At 34.1% G+C, this 23156-nt stretch overlaps 1 protein-coding gene across 8 annotated transcripts in view; it reads left to right on the forward strand.

Moving 5' to 3' along the window:
- Positions 1 to 23156, forward strand: part of COL19A1 (collagen type XIX alpha 1 chain) — a 345913-nt gene that overhangs the window by 96123 nt on the left and 226634 nt on the right. For all 8 annotated transcript variants that reach the window (NM_001858.6, XM_047418188.1, XM_011535437.3 and 5 more), the window contains one exon: positions 148 to 192. In NM_001858.6, the coding sequence (NP_001849.2) occupies positions 148 to 192 (45 nt within the window). The remainder of the gene's footprint in view (positions 1 to 147; positions 193 to 23156) is intronic.

The raw sequence follows: 23156 nt of genomic DNA on the forward strand, positions 1-23156 counted from the left end.
ACAATATTGGTTTAGAGCTTACATGTTAGAAATGGTTATTTACAATTACTGATTTTTCATTGTTTGAAACATAATTTTTATTGTAAAAATTGCATGTGTTATAAGTATCATTTTTATTACTATACACATCATATTCCTCTTCTACAGGGAGAGCAAGGTTTTGAAGGCAGCAAAGGAGAAACTGGTGAAAAGGTAAATATCTCTTTTTACATTCACATCTGTAAAAAGAAATTGTTCTTGAAAATGTTTTGAAATAAAATATTTAACTTGTTTTGTGCATTCCCTATAAGCAATTCAATAATTTTATAGACATAACTAAAACATTTGCTTCCATTGAGGTAGAATAAATATATTAATGATTGCCAGAAATCTTTCAAAACTTATTTGGATGGTATTAATAGTTAGATATTTCTAGTTAAATTTGTTTCATTGACATGGAAATGATTTAAACATTTATAAAGCATTATATTTTTATATTATGAAATCATTCACTCACTAAGTATCCAATTATTTAAATAAATGTTTGTTTTTATGTACAACTGGTTTATCAGTGGAATTTTTTTCCTGAAGGAGTAAATAAGAACAACTAACTGTAAAAGTCAGGATCCCACAGAAAAGACTTGGCATACTAAAACTCGAATAATTTCAAAGAGTTTAATAAAGGCATGGTTTAAAAAGTACGGACAAGGTATAAGAAAACCATAGGGATTGTGCAGTATCCCAGGTCAGGTTACAGCAGACCTCTTAAACCCCACATAATTACCAGACCCAGAGACAGAGAAAAGTGTGTGGCCAAGGCTGGAGACAGGAGCTGAGGGTAGCAGTCAGCCCAAGATAAGCACATAAAGGGGAAATCAGGGCAATAAACACCTCCATCCCACTATCCTCTAGCCCTCAGCTCTCCTACTAGCCCGCACCAGCCAAACCAAGTTGAGAGCCAGTGAGAATGGAGGAAACCTATAAGGCTCAGCCTCCCAAAGTCCAGAGCAGGTGTATAAGGGTGGACAGTGGATCATGAGAGACCAATGGCAGATGCCAGCCCACTAATCTAAGTGCTGTCATTTAAAGTCACCTTCTTACAAAACTAAATTCTGGGTGCTTAATTTTACATGTTAATAGAGTGTTTTATTATAATAAATAACTACTGAAAGTCATTTGATAGTGAAAATACTTAAGCAATCATTGTTTTACAAATTTACAACTTTCTATTGAAAGTACAGAGAATAGAATGCTTGGTCATCCAAAATTTTCCTTCAGATAATCATTTGAATCCTTTTTCATTTCAAAATTCTTGTTTTGTTTTTAAATAAAACAAAAACAGTACCATTCTTTTGTTTAATAACTCTTGTGTACATCAAATGTATGTATGGAATTGGATGGCCAGGAGAGCTAGAAAGGAGAATAATCTCAAATTGGACAGTCTTGCCTGTATTTTGCTTTCTTGCCAGTGATCAGTTGTTTGCTTTTTCAATAAGTATTTATAGAGAGAATGAGCATCTATTATAATTATAAGACAAAGTACACATGTTACAAACTACATGATAATTACTTTTCCTCACAGAACTCAGAAAGAAAAAAGAATGGCCTTATAATAACCATACTTTTGGAGATCATTTCATTAAATGATGACTATTTTTAAGGTGAATATCTTTTCTTAGAAATCCCTTGAACATTTTTGCTTTAGAATAACAGCCATTTGGAAGGCCATGTCTTTAAATAAATGCTTTATTTATACATATTCCTGATTTATTAAGTGGGATTTTACCTGTAGGAATAAGTAGTGAATAAGCCTGAACAGATATATTCTCTGTAATTTAAAGTCACCAATACACTAAAGTCTTAGTAGTTGTTTTGATAGTTTATATACATAGCTGGTATAGCTCAATAATAAATAGATTCTCACAGGTTATAAGGCATTAGAAAACCATTCACCGTATTTGGCTTCAAGGATTTTCCTTGTGGTTCCACATATCTATTAACTGTTGCATTCAAATAGTCAATTTCACCACAAGGTAGAAATATGTTTGTAGAATGATTTAAATATATTAGAAAAAAATAAAGCATCAAACAGAAAAGACAATATGTACCTTGAATGAGAATCCCAATTTAGATGATTTATAGTCAGATATAAGATTCATGTAATAACCGTTATGTTACTTTGATTGGTGCAAAAGTAATTACATTACACCAACCAAGTAAAAATGATGTTCTGCTTTATTATTTACTGTATATTAAATTTTTGAGTTTTTTCAATGTTAGCATGCTACATATTCTGACCCAGAACCACATGTATTTTTTCATGAGATAAATAATTGAGGTCTTGTAGTTCACTTTATTTCTAGATTAAACAAGAAAAGTCTATGAAACATTCACATTGGTGTGACAACAGCATGGATTACTCACAACATAATTTATTTTCTGAACAAAGTCAATCTACCTTGGACTTTAATTTTTTGTGGAAAACTGAGTATATAATCATTTTTTAAAAACCCACTTTCTTCTTTAATTACCCTACTGTGGCCTTTACTGTGTTTAATTTGACTGTTTGAGTGACAAGTCACCAGTTGCAAAATACAATTCAGGACATTGTTATTGGTCAGAGATGTCATATCTTCCAGAAACACATAGTTACGGTCAAAATATAAAAATTACATCAACTGCAAAAGGTAAAATACTACCTGATATTTTCAGGTGACATTTCTATAATGCAGTGGAAACCAACTGGAGTAATCTGCTTCTTCCCATTATGGCTAAAAAAAACTAGCTTTCAGGCCAACCGAACTCACTAGACTGACAAAGTAGCTCCTCAAAGAGTTGAACACTCTCTCCTTAGTCCTGAGAAAAACCTGTGGCACTAGAACAAGTATAAAGGACCTCATTTAAAGTATATTTCTGAATCTATAGAAACTTGTAACAACAGGGCAGAGCCTCATACATTCCTGAACAAACACAATTCAGCCAAATTAGTCCTGAAGTGAAAGTTATTTTAAGGGGTAGTAAGTTCTCTCAGAAAGGTTGTTGGTGCTGACATGACTCTCTCAGATGACAGCTATTTGCAGGTTTACCATGCTGTGGTTTATCATGTAGACCTATAGGAATGACCCCATCCCACTTCACCATCCCTAGCTGGCAAAGTTAGGTGTGTATCACCCAAGGATCCTTGGGCTCTCCAACAGCATAGCTCATGAGGCAGGAGGGATGAAGGACCCTCTCCACAGCTGAGAGTTGTATTTTGGCTTCTCTCTCTATATAGGAGTAGTCTTCTGGGGATTTTCCTTAGATTCCTTCAGTACTATTATTATAGTGCAGGCTGCTACTACAAACAAAATACGGAGTTCAATCCTCAGATAACAGTTATCCCCATACTATCTGTCAGCCTTCCCAGCAATGATTTCATCAAACTCTTGTTATGTAACCAAATGTAAATGCATGAACTAAGCTCTTACATTACATTAGAAGCCGTCCGGGAGGTGGGGGGCAGCCCCCGCCCGGCCAGCTGCCCCGTGCGGGAGGTGGGGGGCACCTCTGCCCGGCCGCCCCGTCTGGGAAGTGAGGAGCCCCTCTGCCCGGCCGCCACCCCGTCTGGGAGGTGTACCCAACAGCTCATTGAGAACGGGCCATGATGACGATGGCGGTTTTGTGAAATAGAAAAGGGGGAAATGTGGGGAAAAGAAAGAGAGATCAGATTGTTGCTGTGTCTGTGTAGAAAGAAGTAGACATAGGAGACTCCATTTTGTTCTGTACTAAGAAAAATTCTTCTGCCTTGGGATGCTGTTAATTATAACCTTACCCCCAACCCCGTGCTCTCTGAAACATGTGCTGTGTCCACTAAGGGTTAAATGGATTAAGGGCGGTGCAAGATGTGCTTTGTTAAACAGATGCTTGAAGGCAGCATGCTCGTTAAGAGTCATCACCACTCCCTAATCTCAAGTACCCAGGGACACAAACACTGTGGAAGGCAGCAGGGCCCTCTGCCTAGGAAAACCAGAGACCTTTGTTCACATGTTTATCTGCTGACCTTCCCTCCACTATTGTCCTATGACCCCGCCAAATCCCCCTCTCTGAGAAACACCCAAGAATGATCAATAAATACTAAAAAAATTAAAAAAAAAAAAAAGAAAAAGGCCATTTAGCAAGGATTCATTCACGTGCTCTTCACTCCTTAACCCTGAGCTCAAGTTTTTACTTTATGTCCTTGTGAAGGTAGAAATATTACTTGGTTACATTTATGAAAAGAAACAGCAAATAGACAATGAAATGTAAACATCTGCCTCATTATACCATTCAATATTTTTAAGTAATTGCTTCAAATCATGTAATTTAGTTTGCTTTTAAAATGATGATTATTTTATGTTGTCACTCAAGTTCTAACTTGAAGTTTGAGAACTAATTTTCTCAAAGTTAAACTTAACTGCAGAACCTATTGCTAAATATCATTTGATTGTGAGAAACATCCAGTGGCAACTGCTACTTATACCTTACTTTTCTTGATTTATTACCTAAAATGTAGTCGACTTGGTTCACTGAATAGTGATGTTTAACTTGGGCATATATGGTGGCAGATTCTTACCTGGATCTAAGATGCTTCTGCTGGTGTGGAAATTTTCCATTTGGGAAATGAAAGTTTTCTGGTCTCTTGAGGGCCTCTTAAGTTTGATAAAAAGAAAAAAACAATCAAATGAGCACTTCTTCGTGAATCATAAGACTGAAGGAGAGGTGGAGAGCATCAAACATGTGGCATATTCTGCAGCTGTGAGAGTCCATGGTTGAGCAAGTTCTTGCTTTCTCTTGTTTAGGCTTCTGGGCATTATCTACTTTGATAATCTTTATTGCTGATCTTTTCTTCCATTCTGGGTTATACTAATAACAATAAATGCAAACACAAAACTAACAAGTTCATATGGTCCCTGCTTTAACTCATCTCTTAAAACCATTGTTGGAAAACTAGTTGTAAATTTCCAGTGACTTGTGATTTTTTTTATTGTCTTCTTCTTACCAAAATATAATCTAGGTCCTAAAATGCCATATGAGATATGTATTTAAATTAGAAAACTGTGTTTAAATATTTATTACTCTGGTTTTATAGTGGTTGCAAATATTTTTTACCAGACAGAATCCACTGGAAAAACATTCCACAGACCCGTATTCTTAGTTGATTTATTGAACTCTATATTGTTATAAAATTCCGTACAAAATATAATATTCAAATGAATACAATTATTTAAATGTCTACTATAACGTAGCGTAAAGTACACGTAGCGTAAAGTACACTTTGCTACCCACAAACTATCTGGGGTTATTTATAATAAAGTCATGCATCAAAACATTTGTATTTCTTTTATCACCAGTCAACATCAGCTAATTTTCAGATGACATAATTCAAATTTTTGTAAGCCAGCCTAAAATAGAATATATTTAGGCTTGGTGCTGATTGTATTAGTATTGATTTTATTAGCACTAATTTTATATGCCACCTTTTGCCTTCAGTGGTTACTTTTGAAGATGTGATGGGGGAATGGAAAATGCTTAATAGAAAATGTCTTCACTTATCTATTTCATAGGTTAATCATTGATATTGTTTTCTTATCAAATGAATATTAAAAATAGCAGCAGTGAATTCATTCTTGTTATTCTGTTGCTTTTTTGTTTTCAGCATTAAAAATATATCAGCAATTATGATATGTCTCATATAGTCCTAGGCTCATAAGCTTGTTGGATAATTTATTTGGTAGCATTTTGTTCATTTATTTCAGATAGATAGATTTAACTTTTATATTTAACTTGTAACAGCAGAAATTAGATAATCAGACTATTTTTATACTAGTACCACAAATAAATAATGTCACCTGCAAGCAACTTTCTAAAATATTGACTTCTAGCATTAAATGTCATGAAATTATAGTAACTCAGAAAATCAATAGTGATCATTTGCTACTAGAAACAACAGTTATGGCTTTAAATAAATGAGGATTTTTACCCTGAAAAATCTTTTTACTTTTGTCAATTTCTCATTCAGTTGTTATGGTAATTACATGCAGGACATGAGAATTTGAATGAGTGGTTGTGACTTTGGGCCACTTAAAATTTGGTATTGAGTGAGAAAAAGCCCAAATAAGGATGTTTATATAATATACGTAAACGATTATTCAGGACATTCTGGGGCAGCATCTAGATCACTCAACAAGGAATCAACATTCTTAGTTTCTGGAGTACCACTCCTGAAAGAGCCTAGACTTGATGTTTATTTTGAAAGTGATGGTGACATATCGTAAAATAAATGGATTCACATATTTTTGTGTTCTGTGTTCCAGTCCAGCTCTGTAATGGCAGCTGTGTGAACTTGGATATGTTCCTAGCTTTCTTTATCATAGTTTCCTCTTTTATAAAATAAAGTTAATTACTACCTCACAGAATGACTGCAGGAATTAAATGAGTGCCGGTGAATAAAAGATGTTCAATAAATGTTAATATCCTCAGCAGCCAATATACAAAAGTAATATAAAATCTTAATATTTTGACAAAAATTTATTTGACAGAATTATTATATATCTTTATTTGTGTAATATTAATTCCTAATTTTTCTTGTGAATAAGTAAATAAAAGACAGGAGGCTATAGTAGTTAGCTACTGATATGTGACAAATCACCCCAAAACGTAGTGACTTAAAACGTTCATTTATTTAGCTTGTGATTATATGGTTTAGAAATTTACACTAGGCTTAGCTCAGTGATTTTTTTTTGTCTTAGTTGATCTTATCTACGTTCATTCATACAATTCGCCTGTGTTATCGGCAGGTTGTGCATCCAGGGACTATGCATCTGTGGATTCACCCAACCATGAATCAAAAATAAATATTGAGAAATAAAAATTAAAAATAACAATACAACAATAACAAATAATACAAATAAAAAACAATATAATCTAACAACTATTTACATAGCATTTACATTGTGTTAGGTATTATAAGTAAACTAGAGATTATTTAAAGTATATGGGAGGATATATGCAAATACTACTTCCTTTTTTATAAGGGACTTGAGCATCCATGGACTTTGTTATCAGCAGGGATCCTGGAACCAATCCCCAGCAGATTCTGGGGCAAGAGTGTGTATCTCTTCTCAGTTGCCAGGTTGGCTGAGGGTGGCTGGGCTAGTTTGGCCTCTGCTAGACAACATGTCTCCACTCCAGATGATCTCTCATCTTCCAACAGTTATCCTGGACTTGTCCTCAAGGTGAAGGCAGGGATCCAAAAAGAGGAAGCAGAAGCATATAAAGCCTCTTTAGCCTCCTTGCTCAGAACTAGCTTGCCCCCACCTCCATCACCACCATGTTCTACTGGCCAAAGCCAGTCTCAAACCCAGCCTAGATTCAAGGAGTAGGAAAATAGATTCCACCTCCTGATGAGAGAAGCTGCACGGACACATTGCCTAGGGTGTAAATATATGGAGAGGTGAAAAAAGGGGCCATTTTATAATAAATCTAACACAAATGATATAAAATTTTATTTTAAATTAACAGTAGAGTAGAAAGATTAAACAGATTTATCAACTTTACTTCATTTTTTTCCTTCTCCCATGGCCTAAAATATAATTCTTAAAGTTAGGTTTATATAGTGGGACTTGCAGACTGTGTCAAAACATATTTTGAATTTGAAATGGTAGAAATACTTTATATGTAATAGGAAAATATTATTTTAAAAATCTTAATTAGAATGGGAAAAAAGAAACACAATATATCAAATAATTAAACCAAGGAATGGTTTTGTACTTTTACATAGCAAAATGTACTTATTAACTTTATCTAAACTAAAACTGATACAAGAATAAATGGAAAAAACAAGTCAAAGTTGAAATTTTTTTTTAGGATTTCATGATTAAAGCTTCTTGGTGATTATGCCTATTATTTAAAACTAATGCAAGTATGTTAAATACTGCTATTATAAATATAGCACTTTCCCTTCATCACTCTAAAGCAACTGTCTACATGTTACCTTACTTCCCGTGAATTCTGTCTTGGTTCACCTTGCAGAGTTCTACTGAACATCAGCGTGTTATACAATTGTTTCCTTTACCCTAGTAACATGTAAACTAAACTTCTACAATTTTTAGGAAGGACTTACTTGTTTGATTTGACAGCTGACTTAAAAAATAAAGAGAACAGATGGAGCAAAATAATAACTATGATTTTAAAAATCATAGCAATTTATCTGTGGCCAATGATAATTGGTATGGGAGTAACCATGCCAACTTTCAATTATCCATGGTAGCAGGCAATTGGGAAAGAGTGATGGTAATCCCACAGCCAAGCCAGAGGCTTAATGCTAGTCATTACAGATTGTGTATTATTTTCCTAATTCCTTACAGTGCTCGTGAATAACTCTAATTTATGTGAAATATGTTTAACCCTCTGTTGTTGCATCACTTGCTAGTAGTTATAGAAAAAGTAAAATGTCCAGAGAGAGAGAGAAAGAGAGAGAAATAAGAGGAGAATAACTATAAAGGGCTATAATATTTTATGAACATTAGTCTTTTAAAGTATTATTTTAATGATTGCATAATATTTCACTATATAAATACGTAATATTTTATGTGAGCATTCCCTTGTTGTTAGAAATTTAAGAACATCTGTTAAATGTGTTTTCTTATTTGTGTCACTGGTGACTTTAGCAAAATAATTTTGATGGAATAGAGAGTAGAAGCCAGGTTGGAGTTTCCTGAAGAGTTAAATTACAGGTGACCGATAAAGAGGCCATGCAGAAAAACCCTCACGAGAACTAGCTGTGAAGAGGACAACAGCCATAGGACAGTAGCTGGAGAGGGTGTGAGTCATTTAAGAAGACTTTATTCCAAAATCCAAAGCCATCATAAGGTCCTTGGCAGGAAATATTCTTGAACAAGTTAGGACCCAAAAGAAAAACACGGACTAGTTCACTAATACAGAGAATTCCAAACGTTTTATACTTCCTAAGAAATGTCAGACTTTAGGCCATCATTTTTAAGGAATTCCCACTAAAATCAAGACTAAGACAAAGGTGTAACTGCTATTATTTAACAATATTCTGGAATTTCTGACCAATGTCAATTTTACTTCCAAATTATAGTTTAAATCTGTCTATTTCTCTCCATCTACCCCAGTGTCACCAAACCGTAATCATTAGTCACCTCCTAGTTAATCTCCCTGTTCTCACTCTTTCTCATTCATTTTCCAAATTATGGTCAGATGCATCTTTACAAAACTATTCATGTGGCTTCTATTTTAAAAACATTTTAGTTGTTTCCCATTAGGTTAAAATCCTGAATCCCACAAGGTCCTGCAAAGTTGGACGTAGATGTGCTTCTCAGAACTCATCTCTTCCCACATTCCCCTTTTCTGCTTCTATTCCAGCCACACTGACCTTCTTTCAGTTACTTGAATGTGCCAGGCGCTCTCCTGACTCACAGTTGTCCATCAGTGTCCCCACTGCTTTGAATATTTTCCCCTTCATTTAGCTTCCCTCTATCCACTTAGCACATCTTAAAAGTCATTTTCTTGGAGGCTTCCTTGACTCTCCAATCAAAATCTGCTCCTTCTGTTATAATTTCTCATTGTACCTTTAGCACTATACTGCACCTGTATAGCATTTACCACAATTTATAATTATAAATATACTGGCATGAGGATTTTGTTTGTCTGTTTTTCTTTCTCCAATAGAGTAGAAGCTTCAAGAAAACAACGACCATGTCTGTCTGTGTACGTTTTTATCTCTAACACCTAGTTGAATGCCTAGCACACAAAAGTATTCAATTAATTCATTCTTTACTGTGGGGAAGTATTATAGAGAAAGTTAAGTAGTGTTTCTTTTCAGCCTCCAGAAGTATTTAATAATTATTATCTTGATGCATTCAATTCAGTATCAACCCTATTTTTTTCAGACTCCTACTATTGAATTTGTGAGATATAGCTAGGGATAAAAATTAATTTTACATGTATGGCCCTTAGAATTGTGTTTAAAAAGACAATATATAAAATATAAAACATTAATATATTTAATAGTATGCTAAAATTTACACAGGAAATATTGTTTAACCTAGTATATTTCCAATTTTTATTATTTGTGAATCACATTGCCTTTTGGCAGGCACTATTTAGCTCATAATTCTATAAAATAAAATACAGTTCTTTTAATACCAGATATTGCAATGTCTTTTGAATTTAGTAGTAATGTTAAAGGTTGTCTACTGGCTCCTGTATCATAATTTTACTTTCCAATTACAGTGGAATTTTGGGCTGTTGACTGTAGTGAACCTAGGTTAGTTTTGTTAAGGAAATTTATTCACTCAATATTTTATGTAATTTAAGTACAAATAAATATGAAAGTTTGGGGTCACATAAGAAAGAATAAATAGAAAAACCATGATCCTCATTTATGTAATGATTAAGGCAACTTGACTTTTAGTAGTTTCTCCTTAGTCAGTGCTGGGTATAAAAGGGTGGTTTTACAATGTGCCTACATTTTGCTTTTATTTTGACCTTTACTCCATTTATCCTATTTCTTCACTCCAGGCTCTGGAGCTGCCTCAGGTTTCTACTCTTAGCTTTTGGTCTTCCCTTTCTCCTTTCTCAGGATCTGCCTGTGCCATAGACTCCACTTCCTCTGCTCTCTGCTGGGCTCCTTGTCCTCAGCTGCTCATTAATCTCTTCACCCCCACTGCTTTCTTTTTCATTTGTTTGACTTACCTCCCATCAAGCCTGATTTCCACTTCAGGTTACTTTCTTTCATTTTTTCGCATATTTTTGTATTCAAAAACAAGGAATAGATCTCTTAGGCAGTCCCTCACCACGACTGACCCTGAGCATTTCTGAATGCAGCTGAGTTTAAATTGAGTAAAGGCAACTCTCACATTTGTTATGAGGTTTATACACACAGGGTTTTTAATGTATAAAAAAAAGATGTGTTTTTTTAAATTAAGAAAAACAGAATAGATTTAAAAATCAAGCAATTTCTTCTGCTTAATACAATCATCAAATATCCATAATTTCTAACTGTTTTTAGTAAATCTCAATTAATAAATATGCTTTATTAACAAAAATCTCTTTTTTGGAAGTACATTCCAGATGGTAAAAAGATAATTAATTCGATGTCACCAAATATTACATGACAGGTGTGTTATTTTTATTCAGGAGCTACCGGCATGTGAACTTCTTTCACAATCAATGTAAAAGCAATTCACTGTATAGGAATTGCTGAACAAGTGTGTCCTACCAGACCGAAATAGCAGAATTCCACTGCACAGAAAACAGAGGTGTTAGTGCAGCTGCTGTTCCAAGTGGATGTTGTACAGTGACTAGCTGTTTTGTAAGTTATTGTCTAGGCTTATGGTGGTCTATTGCTTCTTAGTCTAATATCTTAAAAAAAATCATTGGTTTTTATTTTCCTTGATATCCTTGATATTTCCTTACAATCTCCTTTAAGAACCTCCCCATCAATGATCTGTTCTAATATCAGTAAAGGATCAATGAAACAAGACAGAAATCAAATAATCAATTTGCTTTGTCTTTTTTCACTTTTCCTTATTGTTCCTCATTTTCTGCTGCTAATCATTTTGTGTAATCAAAACTCAAGGCAAAATGGTAAAGCGATAATGCTTTGGGCAAACATTTTGTGGAATGTTATTTTAATTGCCTGCACTTGTCCAGCCCTGGGGAGGAGTGTGGCAATGCAGATGGCTTCAGCTGGCTGTATTCCAGGAACTCACTGATAGTGATTCTGCCTCCCACTTAAGGTTTACTTATGTGTACAAATGAATCATGCAGTTCATGTCTTGGTAAGAACTACAAGGCTGGAGCACATGATAGCACCCAGTAATCACAGAGCGAATCAAGGATTCTTCCTTAAGTTAGTGGAAAGTTAGGAAGTTATCTAAATTGACTTTATTCCTTTATCCGGATTTTGACAGGTGGCCCACCATTATCATTAATGTTTATAACAGACAATTCTAAGTTCTTTATTTTAAGCCAAAATTTGTTCCGTATTATTTTGACCAATCTAATTTATCCCAGTTCTAATCTTTCAGACCAGTGTTTTCTCTGATTATATGTTCTTGCAAATGAATGACTGACCATCTTTTGGAGAGTTTAAGACAGCTTCCTTTTTTTTTTTTTTTTTTTTTTTTGAGACGGAGTCTTGCTCTGTTGCCCAGGCTGGAGTGCAGTGGAGCGATCTAGGCTCACTGCAAGCTCCACCTCCCGAGTTCGCGCCATTTTCCTGCCTCAGCCTCCCGAGTAGCTGGGACTACAGGTGCCTGCCACCACACCCGGCTAATTTTTTTGTATTTTTAGTGGAGACAGGGTTTCACCATGCTAGCCAGGATGGTGCTGAGCTCCTGACCTCGTGATCCACCTGTCTCGGCCTCCCAAAGTGCTGGGATTATAGGCGTGAGCCACCGCACCCAGCCAAGACAGCTTCTTAAACTGTCTCCTAAACATGAAGATGCATTCTCCTGAACATTTTCATGTAAGTATCTCAGTTTTGAGCAAGTGTTTCACTGTGCTTCATGGATCACTGCTAATGGATCCCTTGTCTTCCTCATAACCTTCATCTTGTAATGTTATAACTCATCAGTGTACTGTTAGTGTAATGCTCAGACATGGACAGAATTATTCTAGCACTTTGAGCAGTCATTCATATAGGCAGTTTAATATAATGAAGGCATTTGGATTTTGTGGAGCTGAGTCCTCATCCTGGCTCCTGGACAGCTCAAGTTATCCATGGCTATTTCAATGTCTTCACCTGTGAAAGAGACAGTGAGGCTAGATTAGGCCTAGAATCACACATGTTTAGAGCTAGAGTGAATCTGAGAATATATAGAGTTTATAATACTGTCAGGTGGTTGTTTTCTTGAGTCACAATATAAGCATTTACATGTATACGTGCTGCCTTTATTCTGGGGATTTAAGCCTGATGTTTCTGTTTGTTAACGTTAAACTTTTGATTCTGGCAGGTATTACAATGGTAACCTTTTATCAGCTCTGTAGACATGAATTCTAGGTCCTTGAATTTTGTAGATATGAATTCTAGGCCTTGAGTAGCTAATATAAATATTGAATAAGACATGACCAGAACACAGCACTGTGACACACCACTGGAGTTCTCTTTTTAGGGGTGATGGCCTAATAGAAATGAAGGTAGAATGAGCGTATTTATTTAACTACCTATTATTTACCTCACTAAAATTTAACCAACATTTATCAAACACATCCTAAGAAACTTTATTAAATGTCTTACTGAATTAAATAAACCAAACTCATAACACATGGTTTTTGTTTTCTGACATGGTATTGCCTATTGATAATCATCTTATTCTTAACTAAGAGTTTAAAACCAATTTGTTTAATAATTAAATCTAGAATTTTGCTAGGAATCAGTATGAAACTTACTCATCATTCATGTATATTTTTTAAATGAGCAAGCATTAGTGTGTCTAGGCCTTTCCTTCTCCAAGATTCTCAGAGATTCATCTCAGTGGCTAATTTCCATGAGCTCTTAGTTATCTGCCCTTAATCTGTCCTCTCCTATCTTAACGTCTGTCTTGGTCTCAAGAGTGGTTATCTAGAATTAATGAATTAAAAGGCCTTCAATTTATTTTCAAAGTAGTTTGATGCCGACTATAATCCAATATGATACTGTATCCCTTTGAAACATATGCTGGGTTTTGGAATATATTTGTTTATTCAATCATCCATTTATTTGATCATTTAGGACCCATTTTTTACCAGATACTGTGTTCAGCACTAGGGTAGCAGATATGAAAGAGACAAAACATCCTTTCAGAGAGTAGATATGAAATGCTTGATGGTGTTTTGTATAGGACCTGTGGGAAGGAAGAGGAGTGAGTACATAACGCTCCCTAGGAGAAGGAGGGGAGTTTGATTAAGATTCTTTAGTGAGTCCTGAAGCATAGGTAAGAGTTCTCCAGAACACGGAAGAGGCAAATGAAACAGTTCATTGTAAGGTTTAGAGTAAGAACAAAGTATGAGATGTTTAAGGAACCACATGGAGTGTCTTGAGTGACAAAAAGAAAACCAGTGACCACCAGAGAAAAAAACAAAAGGACTTTTAAAAAATTCCTGAGTCATAGTTTCAGGCAAAACACTCAAGGGAGACAATTGCCAGGAAATAACATCAAGAGGATGCCTCTGAGCATTCAGGTGATGTCATGTTTAGCTCACTCTTCCCTGGTAGGGAATACCACCTGACCAAAAGCTTGAGGGAATCCTCTTACTAGAAGACCCATCTGAAGCCGCCAGACAAAGGATTAGAGGCTGATGTCCCTTTGAGTCAGTGTGGCGATTCCTCAGGGATCTAGAACCAGAAATACCGTTTGACCCAGCCATCCCATTACTGGGTATATACTCAAAGGATTATAAATCATGCTGCTATAAAGACACATGCGCACGTATGTTTATTGCGGCACTATTCACAATAGCAAACACTTAGAACCAACCCAAATGTCCAACAATGATAGACTGGATTAAGAAAATGTAGCGCATATACACCATGCAATACTATGCAGCCATAAAAAATGATGAGTTCATGTCCTTTGTAGGGACATGGATGAAGCTGGAAACCATCATTCTCAGCAAACTATCTCAAGGACAAAAAGCCAAACACCATATGTTCTCACTCATAGGTGGGAGTTGAACAATGAGAACACATGGACACAGGGAGGGGAACATCACACACCCGGGACTGTTGTGGGGTGGGGGGAGGGGGGAGGGGGGAGCGATAGCATTAGGAGATATACCTGATGCTAAATGACAAGTTAATGGGTGCAGCACACCAACATGGCACATGTATACATATGTAACAAACCTGCACATTGTGCACATGTACCCTAAAACTTAAAGTATAATAATAATAAACTTAAAAAAAAAAAAGAAAGGTTCAGGCTGGCTTAGGTAACAATTTAATTAAACTTTTTGCTTGGCATTTCCCAGGAATTTCTGAAACTTTCTATTTTTATTATTCTTGCAATTTATAGAAACTGAACATTTCAATCCAGTGGAGGATAATAGATGTGGCCTCTATCTAGGTTTATTTTGCTAGTTAAGTTCCTGAAGCAACTTAATCCAAATATTTTATTTTGTCCTTAATTAAGAAAGAAAAGAAAGAACATGAAATGTAGCCATTTCTTTCATGAATCAAACAAGATTTAATATTTGATCATCAAGAATAAGTGGTAAGTTTCTTGCTTTACCTGCTAATAAATGGCCATGGTCATATTGAAAAAAAAAATTTTACTGATCTAAATTTCAATAATTTACTAGCCAGAAACACAGTCTCTTGCTGTGATCTTGCTCCTCAAATTGTCACAAGAATCCCCAGAGATTCTATATGTGTTACCTCTGTGAACTGATCAGTATGTGAGTCAACAGCAGGCCTTGCTATCATTCCCTCCTGATTCCTGAGAAGAGGAGTAAGAAATTTCAGGTATAATTTGAGCTGGCACCTGAAACTTTTGCTATATCTCTAGTTAGGTTGAAGTATAGCTGTTGCCAGATACACGTATACATATAGATACATATACATACATATATAGAGAGAGAGAAAGAGAGAGAAAGAGAGACAGACACAGAGATAAAGAGATAATGTTTTGCATTTTATCCAATAGATAATTTTTTATACGTTCATGGAACAGTTTGAAAAATTTATGATTCTTTGGACAAAAAAAATAAAAAACTCACCTTAAGTTGAAAAGTAGACATTTTGTAAGACTCATTCCTTGATATAAAGAATAATAAAGAAACCAATACATGAAGAAAACAGTCCTCAATAACCCCGGAACCAAAGAGTTAATGAAAAGGAAAATTCATAAAAATCAATGCACAAGAAAAATACTTTATATAAAACATATGGACCATATCAAAAGCTATAATGAAGGTGAAAATACATAGTGTCAAATCTGGTTATTATAAAGAAGAAAATATAAAAATAATGAAAATATGCTTTTATCTTATATAATAATAATAAATAGCCCCGAAACAAAATAGTAGATGGGAATTAATAAATATGGTCACTAAAATCAATGAAACAGAAAATTTTAAAAATTGTAGAAGGGACAAACAAATCAAACACCTGATTTAATAAATGACTAAGAAAATGAATACACAAAGAATTAAATTATTCTATTAAGGAAACAGAAAATAGAAAAAAGACAAGCTAGAAATAAGAAAAAAAAATGACCACAGATAGTAGATGGACTTAAAGAATTCTGAGACTATTGTTATATGTGTAATTTGAAAGAAACAAAAATTTGATCACCTAGAGAAAATGGATGATTTCCTCAAAAAATATAAAAAATTGACCAAGAATAACTGGAAAATATGACTACACTAATTACTGTGGAAGAAATTGGAGAGGTGATTCAAAATCTACCATTGAATAAAGCACCAGGACTAATTGGGTTTTTCAGCAGGGTTTTATGTAGCCAGTGTTATTTTAACTATTCTAGGCTAAAGGAAAGATCCACAGCCTCCAAGAAGTCAGCATAATGTTAATACTAAATCTAATTTTTTAAATATAACTATATTTTATTTATTGTTATAGATACAAGTATTTTTAAATAAATATTACCAAACAGAATTCAACCATTCAGCAAAAGAAAAATCAAGTAGGATAATACTATGAAGTCAAGGTGGATTCATGTTAAGAAGTTATATATATCAACATAATACATCAGCCAATTAAAGCATAAAAGTTAAATGATTATATCAGTAGATGCTGAAGCTTTTGATAATATGCAATATTCATTCCTAATAAGATCTTCAAGTAAAATAGGAATTGATGAAATATTTTTACTAAAAGCCAGCAGCAAATACTATTCTTAAAAAGGGCAAAAATAGATTAGAAATGAAATATGCAGAATTTAGACTTAAGGAGATAAAATTGCCATAACCATTACTTCACAAGAAAATTAAGTAACCTATGTAGCACTAGAAAAAAGAGATAAACTACCTTTTTTTACTAATGAGTTGACTCTATAGGTAGAAAATCTAAGAGACTTTGGGAGAAAATTTAGAATTTAGATACCAGGGATATATTTAAAAAACAATAGATTTTGTTTATTTTAGCCTTAAACATCTAGGAATGTAATGGGAAATATTCCATTAATATAAGTGGTAAAAGCAATAAGAATTTTGGAAAAATATGAATAAGAAAGGGACAAGATGTATACAAACAAAATCAAAGGGCGTAAAATAAAATCTAAATGAATGTATGTAGATACACCATTTTCTTTAAAATTATAACCTTAAAAGTTCAGTAATTCAAAATTAATACGTAAATGTAATGCAATACAAACAGGAATTCCAACATGTTTTAAATTTTGTCTTGAAGTTGGTAAAATTTTTTAAAGTTTATATGAACAAATAAATAACTAAAAATAGTCAAAAATTTTTTGAGAAAGAGAAATGTAGTAATTTAGAAATTTAGGGTGAACTTGCTTTACCAGACATCATAACATTCTATAATGTCATAGTAACAAAATAAATATTGCATCATGTAGAATAAAGATAGATAGACTAAACCTGAGAATCTAGAAACTGGCCTCAGAAGTTATGTGAAGTTAATTTAATAACTTTTGTATTTTTATTCAGTTATTCAGTTGAAAGGATGGGTTATTCCACAGGTGCATTGGCACTACCGAGTCTATCCACGAAAAACTATTTTATACCCTATATAAAAATAAATGCCAGATAGATGAAGGACTTATATAAAAATCAAAACAAAGCAATAAATACTTTACATTTGTGTAATCCAGGATTAAGTGTATATCTAACCAAGATTTGAAACCCAGGGACTGTAAAGTAAAAGATAGACATATTAGACATATAAAAATTAAATGTTTCAGTGGTAAAGTCATAATCGAAATCAAGTAGGAAATAATTGTTCTGATAAAATATAATTAATAGGTGACCAGTTAACATTTGTACGTTCCAAAGAGTTTTTAAAAGCTGAGAAAAGACAACTCAATATTTGAAAATGGACAAAATGTGTGAATAGGCAGCTCGCTAAAGAGAAAAATTCTAATGCTAGTAAACATGTGTAAGGCTCAGATTCACTGGTAGTCAGTGATATGTAATGTAAAGCAATTATGAGATTTGGCTTTACAGCCATTAGCCTGCCACCTGTTGCTGGATGTGATTCAAGGACAAAGGCATTCCCATACATTGCTGGTGGTAAGTGTAGAGCTACAGTCTCTTTTAGAAAGCAACTGGGTAATATCTATTCAAAAATGAAAAAAATGCATAATCTTTTTACCTAGAAATCACCTTCTTGAAAATCTGACTTATATAAATATATTACATGCATGTGATGGCCTTTATTTTTTAAGTGGTATAAGCTTTAATACAACTCCTAACACAAATTCTGTTAAATTCAAACATTTGCTGGGTTCCTAGAACAGTGCTCACAGAGTTGGCACACAAATGTTATAACATAGTATTACTTGTTAGGTATACAAAAAACAAACCATACAGAGTTTTTGCCAATGTGGAATATAATGGTGTTTTGTAGGGGCAGAAAACTGGAACTGAGTGAGTGTCATTAACAAGAAAACACCTGAATACATTATGGAACATCTATATCATAGAGTATTATAGAACTACTGAATAAATTAGGATTCTGCTGGGTAATCTAAATTGATATGTAGAATGTGATGATGAGGGAGAAAATAAAAAATGCAGAAAAATGTATATAATATAACCAATTTTTAAAACAAAAGTGATTAAAATCCTGATTGTGCCTGTATGTATGTGTGCATCTATTGTAACTTATGATGACATAAGTTTGGAGTAAAAATTTGGAAAAATACTTACAAACTTAAAAGTTAATAACAAAAGTCTGGCATCCAGAAAAGGAGTAAAAGAAATTAAAAAGTGAGAGGAGAGTATGATTTATTGTCTTACTTCAGAACTTACATTATATTATATATATTCTTCATATTTAAAAAAACATTTAACATTCATAAATTTTGTATGTGTTTTATATTTATAAACTTTTAAATTTATAAATGTTATATTCATAAAATATAGGTATAAATATATATCACATTACATACATAGATACATGCATTGCATATGTTCCCTTGCCCATGCCAAGTCTTGCAAAGAAAACATTTTAAAATCTGTCCTAAAATATATGTTTCATGTATTTAAGGATTTATATAAAATTACAAATATATTTTAGGTAATTTTTTAATTTCAAGAAAAGCACAAGAGAAATGGATTAAAGATAGGAAAAGCAGCAAAGTAGCTGCTACAATAATACACAAATGAAATGACCAAGGAGCATGACAAACATAATGCCAGGATTGTTGCCATCATTGTTGCCATCATAGCAATGACAATGTGAGGATCATGGTGGAAGCAGCAGCAATTTAAGAACAAAAATGAAGATATAGAAAGAAAAAAAGAGGGGGAGTTAAGAAGAATAATTCTGTTCTGATGCATTGGTCTATTTGTCTACACTTTTTTATTTTTATTTTCATTTTTTGAGATGGAGTCTTGCTCTGTCTCCCAGGCTGGAGTGCAGTGGCACAGTCTCAGCTCACTGCTACCTCTGTCTCCCAGGCTGGAGTGCAGTGGCACAGTCTCAGCTCACTGCTACCTCCGCCTCCCAGGTCAAGCGATTTTCCTGCCTCAGCCTCCCCAGTAGCTAGGATTACAGGCACCTGCCGCCACACCCGACTAATTTTTGCATTTTTAGTGGAGATGGGGTTTCACTATGTTGGCCAGGCTGGTCTTGAACTCCTGACCTCGTGATCCACCTGCCTCGGCCTCCCACAGTGCTGGGATTACAGGGGTGAGCCACTGCACCTGGCCTACACTTTTAACAATACAATATTGCCAAAATATTATAGCTGATGTTTATAGTGAGTATTTAGTAGGGAAAATTCCTCACCAGGCTCTTTAAGATTATCTTGGGTATCCTAGAACCTTGGCATTTTCATATCAATTTTAAAATCAACATGCCCGGCCAGGAGCAGTGGCTCACGCCTGTAATCCCAGCACTTTGGGAGGCCGAGACGGGCAGATCACGACGTCAGGAGATCGAGACCATCCTAGCCAACACAGTGAAACCCCGTCTCTACTAAAAATACAAAAAATTAGCCGGGCTTGGTGGTGGGCGCCTGTAGTCCCAGCTACTCAGGAGGCTGAGGCAGGAGAATGGCGTGAACCCGGGAGGCAGAGCTTGCAGTGAGCCAAGATCTTGCCACTGCACCCCAGCCTGAGCAACAGAGCGAGACTCTGTCTCAAAAATAAATAAATAAATAAATAAATAAATAAATAAATAAATAAATAAATATAAAATAAAATCAACATGCCAATTTCCACACTTACATACACACAACTTGCTGAGATTTTGAATGAATTTTCTTTCAATCTATAGATGTTTGGGAGGAATTTACCTTGCAATAGTATAGAGTCATCCAATCCATAATATATCTATTTATTTAGGTTTCCTGTATTGCCTGTAAGTAATGTATTTTAATTTTCACTGTAGAGTTCTTACATAATTTTCGTTAGATTTATGACTAGGTATTTGACGTTTTTGATGCTATTTTGAATACTTTTAAATTTTAACTTCCAATTGCTTCTAGTATATCAAAATACATTGATTTTTGTTTATTGACCTGTGTCTGGCCACCTTGCTTTATTAACTAATTAATTCTAATAGTTCACAGACTACCATGCAATTTGTGAATAAATTTCTACTTCTCTTTACAAATCTTATTTCTTGGATTTTTTTTCTTGCCATATTTTACTGACTAGGACCTCCACTACAATATTGAAAAGAAGTGGTTATAGTGTACATTCTTGTTCTTTTTCTAAATTTAAGGGGAAAGAATTCAATATTTTATCACTAAGTATGCTGTAGGCTTTTGTAGAGACCCTTTCTTAGAATATGAATATTGAGAATATAATTTGCTGAATTTTCTTTGAATACTATTCAAATATTGAACTTAAAAATGCTTTTTCCACATCTGATGAGATGGTAATATAATTTTCTTTCTATTCTGTTAATGTGGTGAATTATAATGATTGATTTTCAAATGCTAAACTACCCTTGGATTCCTAGAATAAAATTCATTTGTTAAGAATGCATAATTTTTTCTGTGTATAAGTGGATTCAATTTGCTACTATCATGATTAGGATTTTTGCACCTATGTTTATAAAAATTTAAGATTTTTTTTTCTGGTCATTTTCTGGTCAAACTTTGCTATCAGAGTTATGCTAGGATCATAAAATGAGTTGAATACTGAATAACCCCTTTTCTTGTTTCCAGAAGGAGTATGTGTAATATCTGTATTAATGTTTCCTTAAGTGTTTTTAAGAATTCACCAAAAAGCCACAGGGTCTGAAGGTTTCTTTGTGAAAGATTTTTACATTATGGGTTTAATTATTTATTTTGATTGCTTTGTTTATGTTTCTCCTGAAAATTTGAAATTTTTGCTCCAGTGGTTATAAGGAGAACTACATAAAATATAGTGAAGTTTCTATTTCTGCAGTCAGTGTCTATTGATTTCCTTCCCTAGAATGGCTGAATTAACATATTTCCACTTCTTCCATCCCTGCCACTCTCTGATGTCAATGAATGACATATTTTTAGTTTTACCTTGGTATTGTTAATATGCTTATCTTTGTTACGTATTTTGGTTTTAAAGGCAACTTAAGTTGATTTTAAAGACAATCTTTTAACACCTCACTACAAAAGATAATGGACTTAAACTACCCATTATTGCCACCCTCTTTCCTCTCCTTCCTTCTAATTTTTGTCAGATATATAATTTTAGCATTTTTTGGTATTCATAATATTTACATCCTGTTCTTAAGTCGCAAGCCCTAATTTTTATCTTATTTTTAGTCTTGTAGCTAAATGAAACCTATGTTCATTGTCAATCTTTTGCCTGAAGTTTCTGTATCATTCTCTTGGTTGGCTGATGTTTGCCTCCTAGTTTTTTCACAAAAAGTTAATGAGAAATATATATGCGAAGGACATGGAAGTCCCCCAAACTTTGCTTTCACTTTATACTTTAATGACAATTTAGCTGTGTTTATAGTTCTTGAAAGATTATTTGTTTCCTTGGGGACATTTTAGCCATTAGTCTTCTATCATTGAGTGTTTGAATGTTGCTCGGGAGTTATCTGAGATTAGCCAGCCTAAAACCTATTTCCATAGGAGATTGATAATTTTCTTCATTTTAAAGAAATAATTAATGCAAATGTAATAACCAAATGTGTAATTTAAGAGCTGCATTTAAGAACTGGTAACATTTGAAGAAAAAACATTAGGTTTAATTTGGGTAGGTTCAAAATGTCTCCCTACCCACTTGTAGTTGGGATCAGAATACAAAGTACACCTCAAAACATGTCTTTTAAGGGAAGAATTGTTTCCTTGGGTAAGATAAAACTTGAAACTGAATTCCTCACTATTGAAATTTTAATAGTACAAGGTTAAAAATGGCATTCAATATGAGTTTTGTTGTGTGGGATGGTTTTGGAATCTTTAACTGAATAATTCCATTTGTTTAAGTAGTGAGGTACTAACTTTCAGAGGAAGAGACTTTAAGAGAATCAGTTGAAAATGACTAATGCCAAACATGAAAGCAGCATCATCATTTCTTTACTCATTCCTCAGAAGAGAAACACCCTTACTGCCATCCAGAGGTCTATGGTCCAGTGGCGAGTTCAGCAACATTAGCAAAGGGGGTGAAGGATGAGAGATGACTCAGAGACTTTTCAGTCAGGTCTATTGAAGAGATAGCTTAATCAGGAAAATTAGGACCACTTTAAAATGAGTATCAAGAGTGGAAAGTAGAGACATGCTAATAAGAAGATAGGACTTCTGAAAAAAAAAGTAGCTGAGTATATATGCAAACAGCCAGGACCCTGGAACCTAAGTTTCCTTCACCATTACTGAACGTTTTCAAAAATTCCTTAAACTTCTATTTCTTTGTCTAAAAAACTGTGAAAATTTTCCTTATTTCAAAACTTTGCTCAGAAATGTCTCTCCTGAGAGTCTTTGAAAGTTTAGGGCATTTAAAAATGCATATTATTAATTTTACTGAGTTAATAGCCATTATAGTCTAGTAGTGTGTGTAATATATATCAGGGG

The sequence above is a fragment of the Homo sapiens genome, chromosome 6, assembly GCF_000001405.40.
Source record: "Homo sapiens chromosome 6, GRCh38.p14 Primary Assembly".
In the NCBI taxonomy this organism is placed as follows: Eukaryota; Metazoa; Chordata; class Mammalia; order Primates; family Hominidae; genus Homo; species Homo sapiens.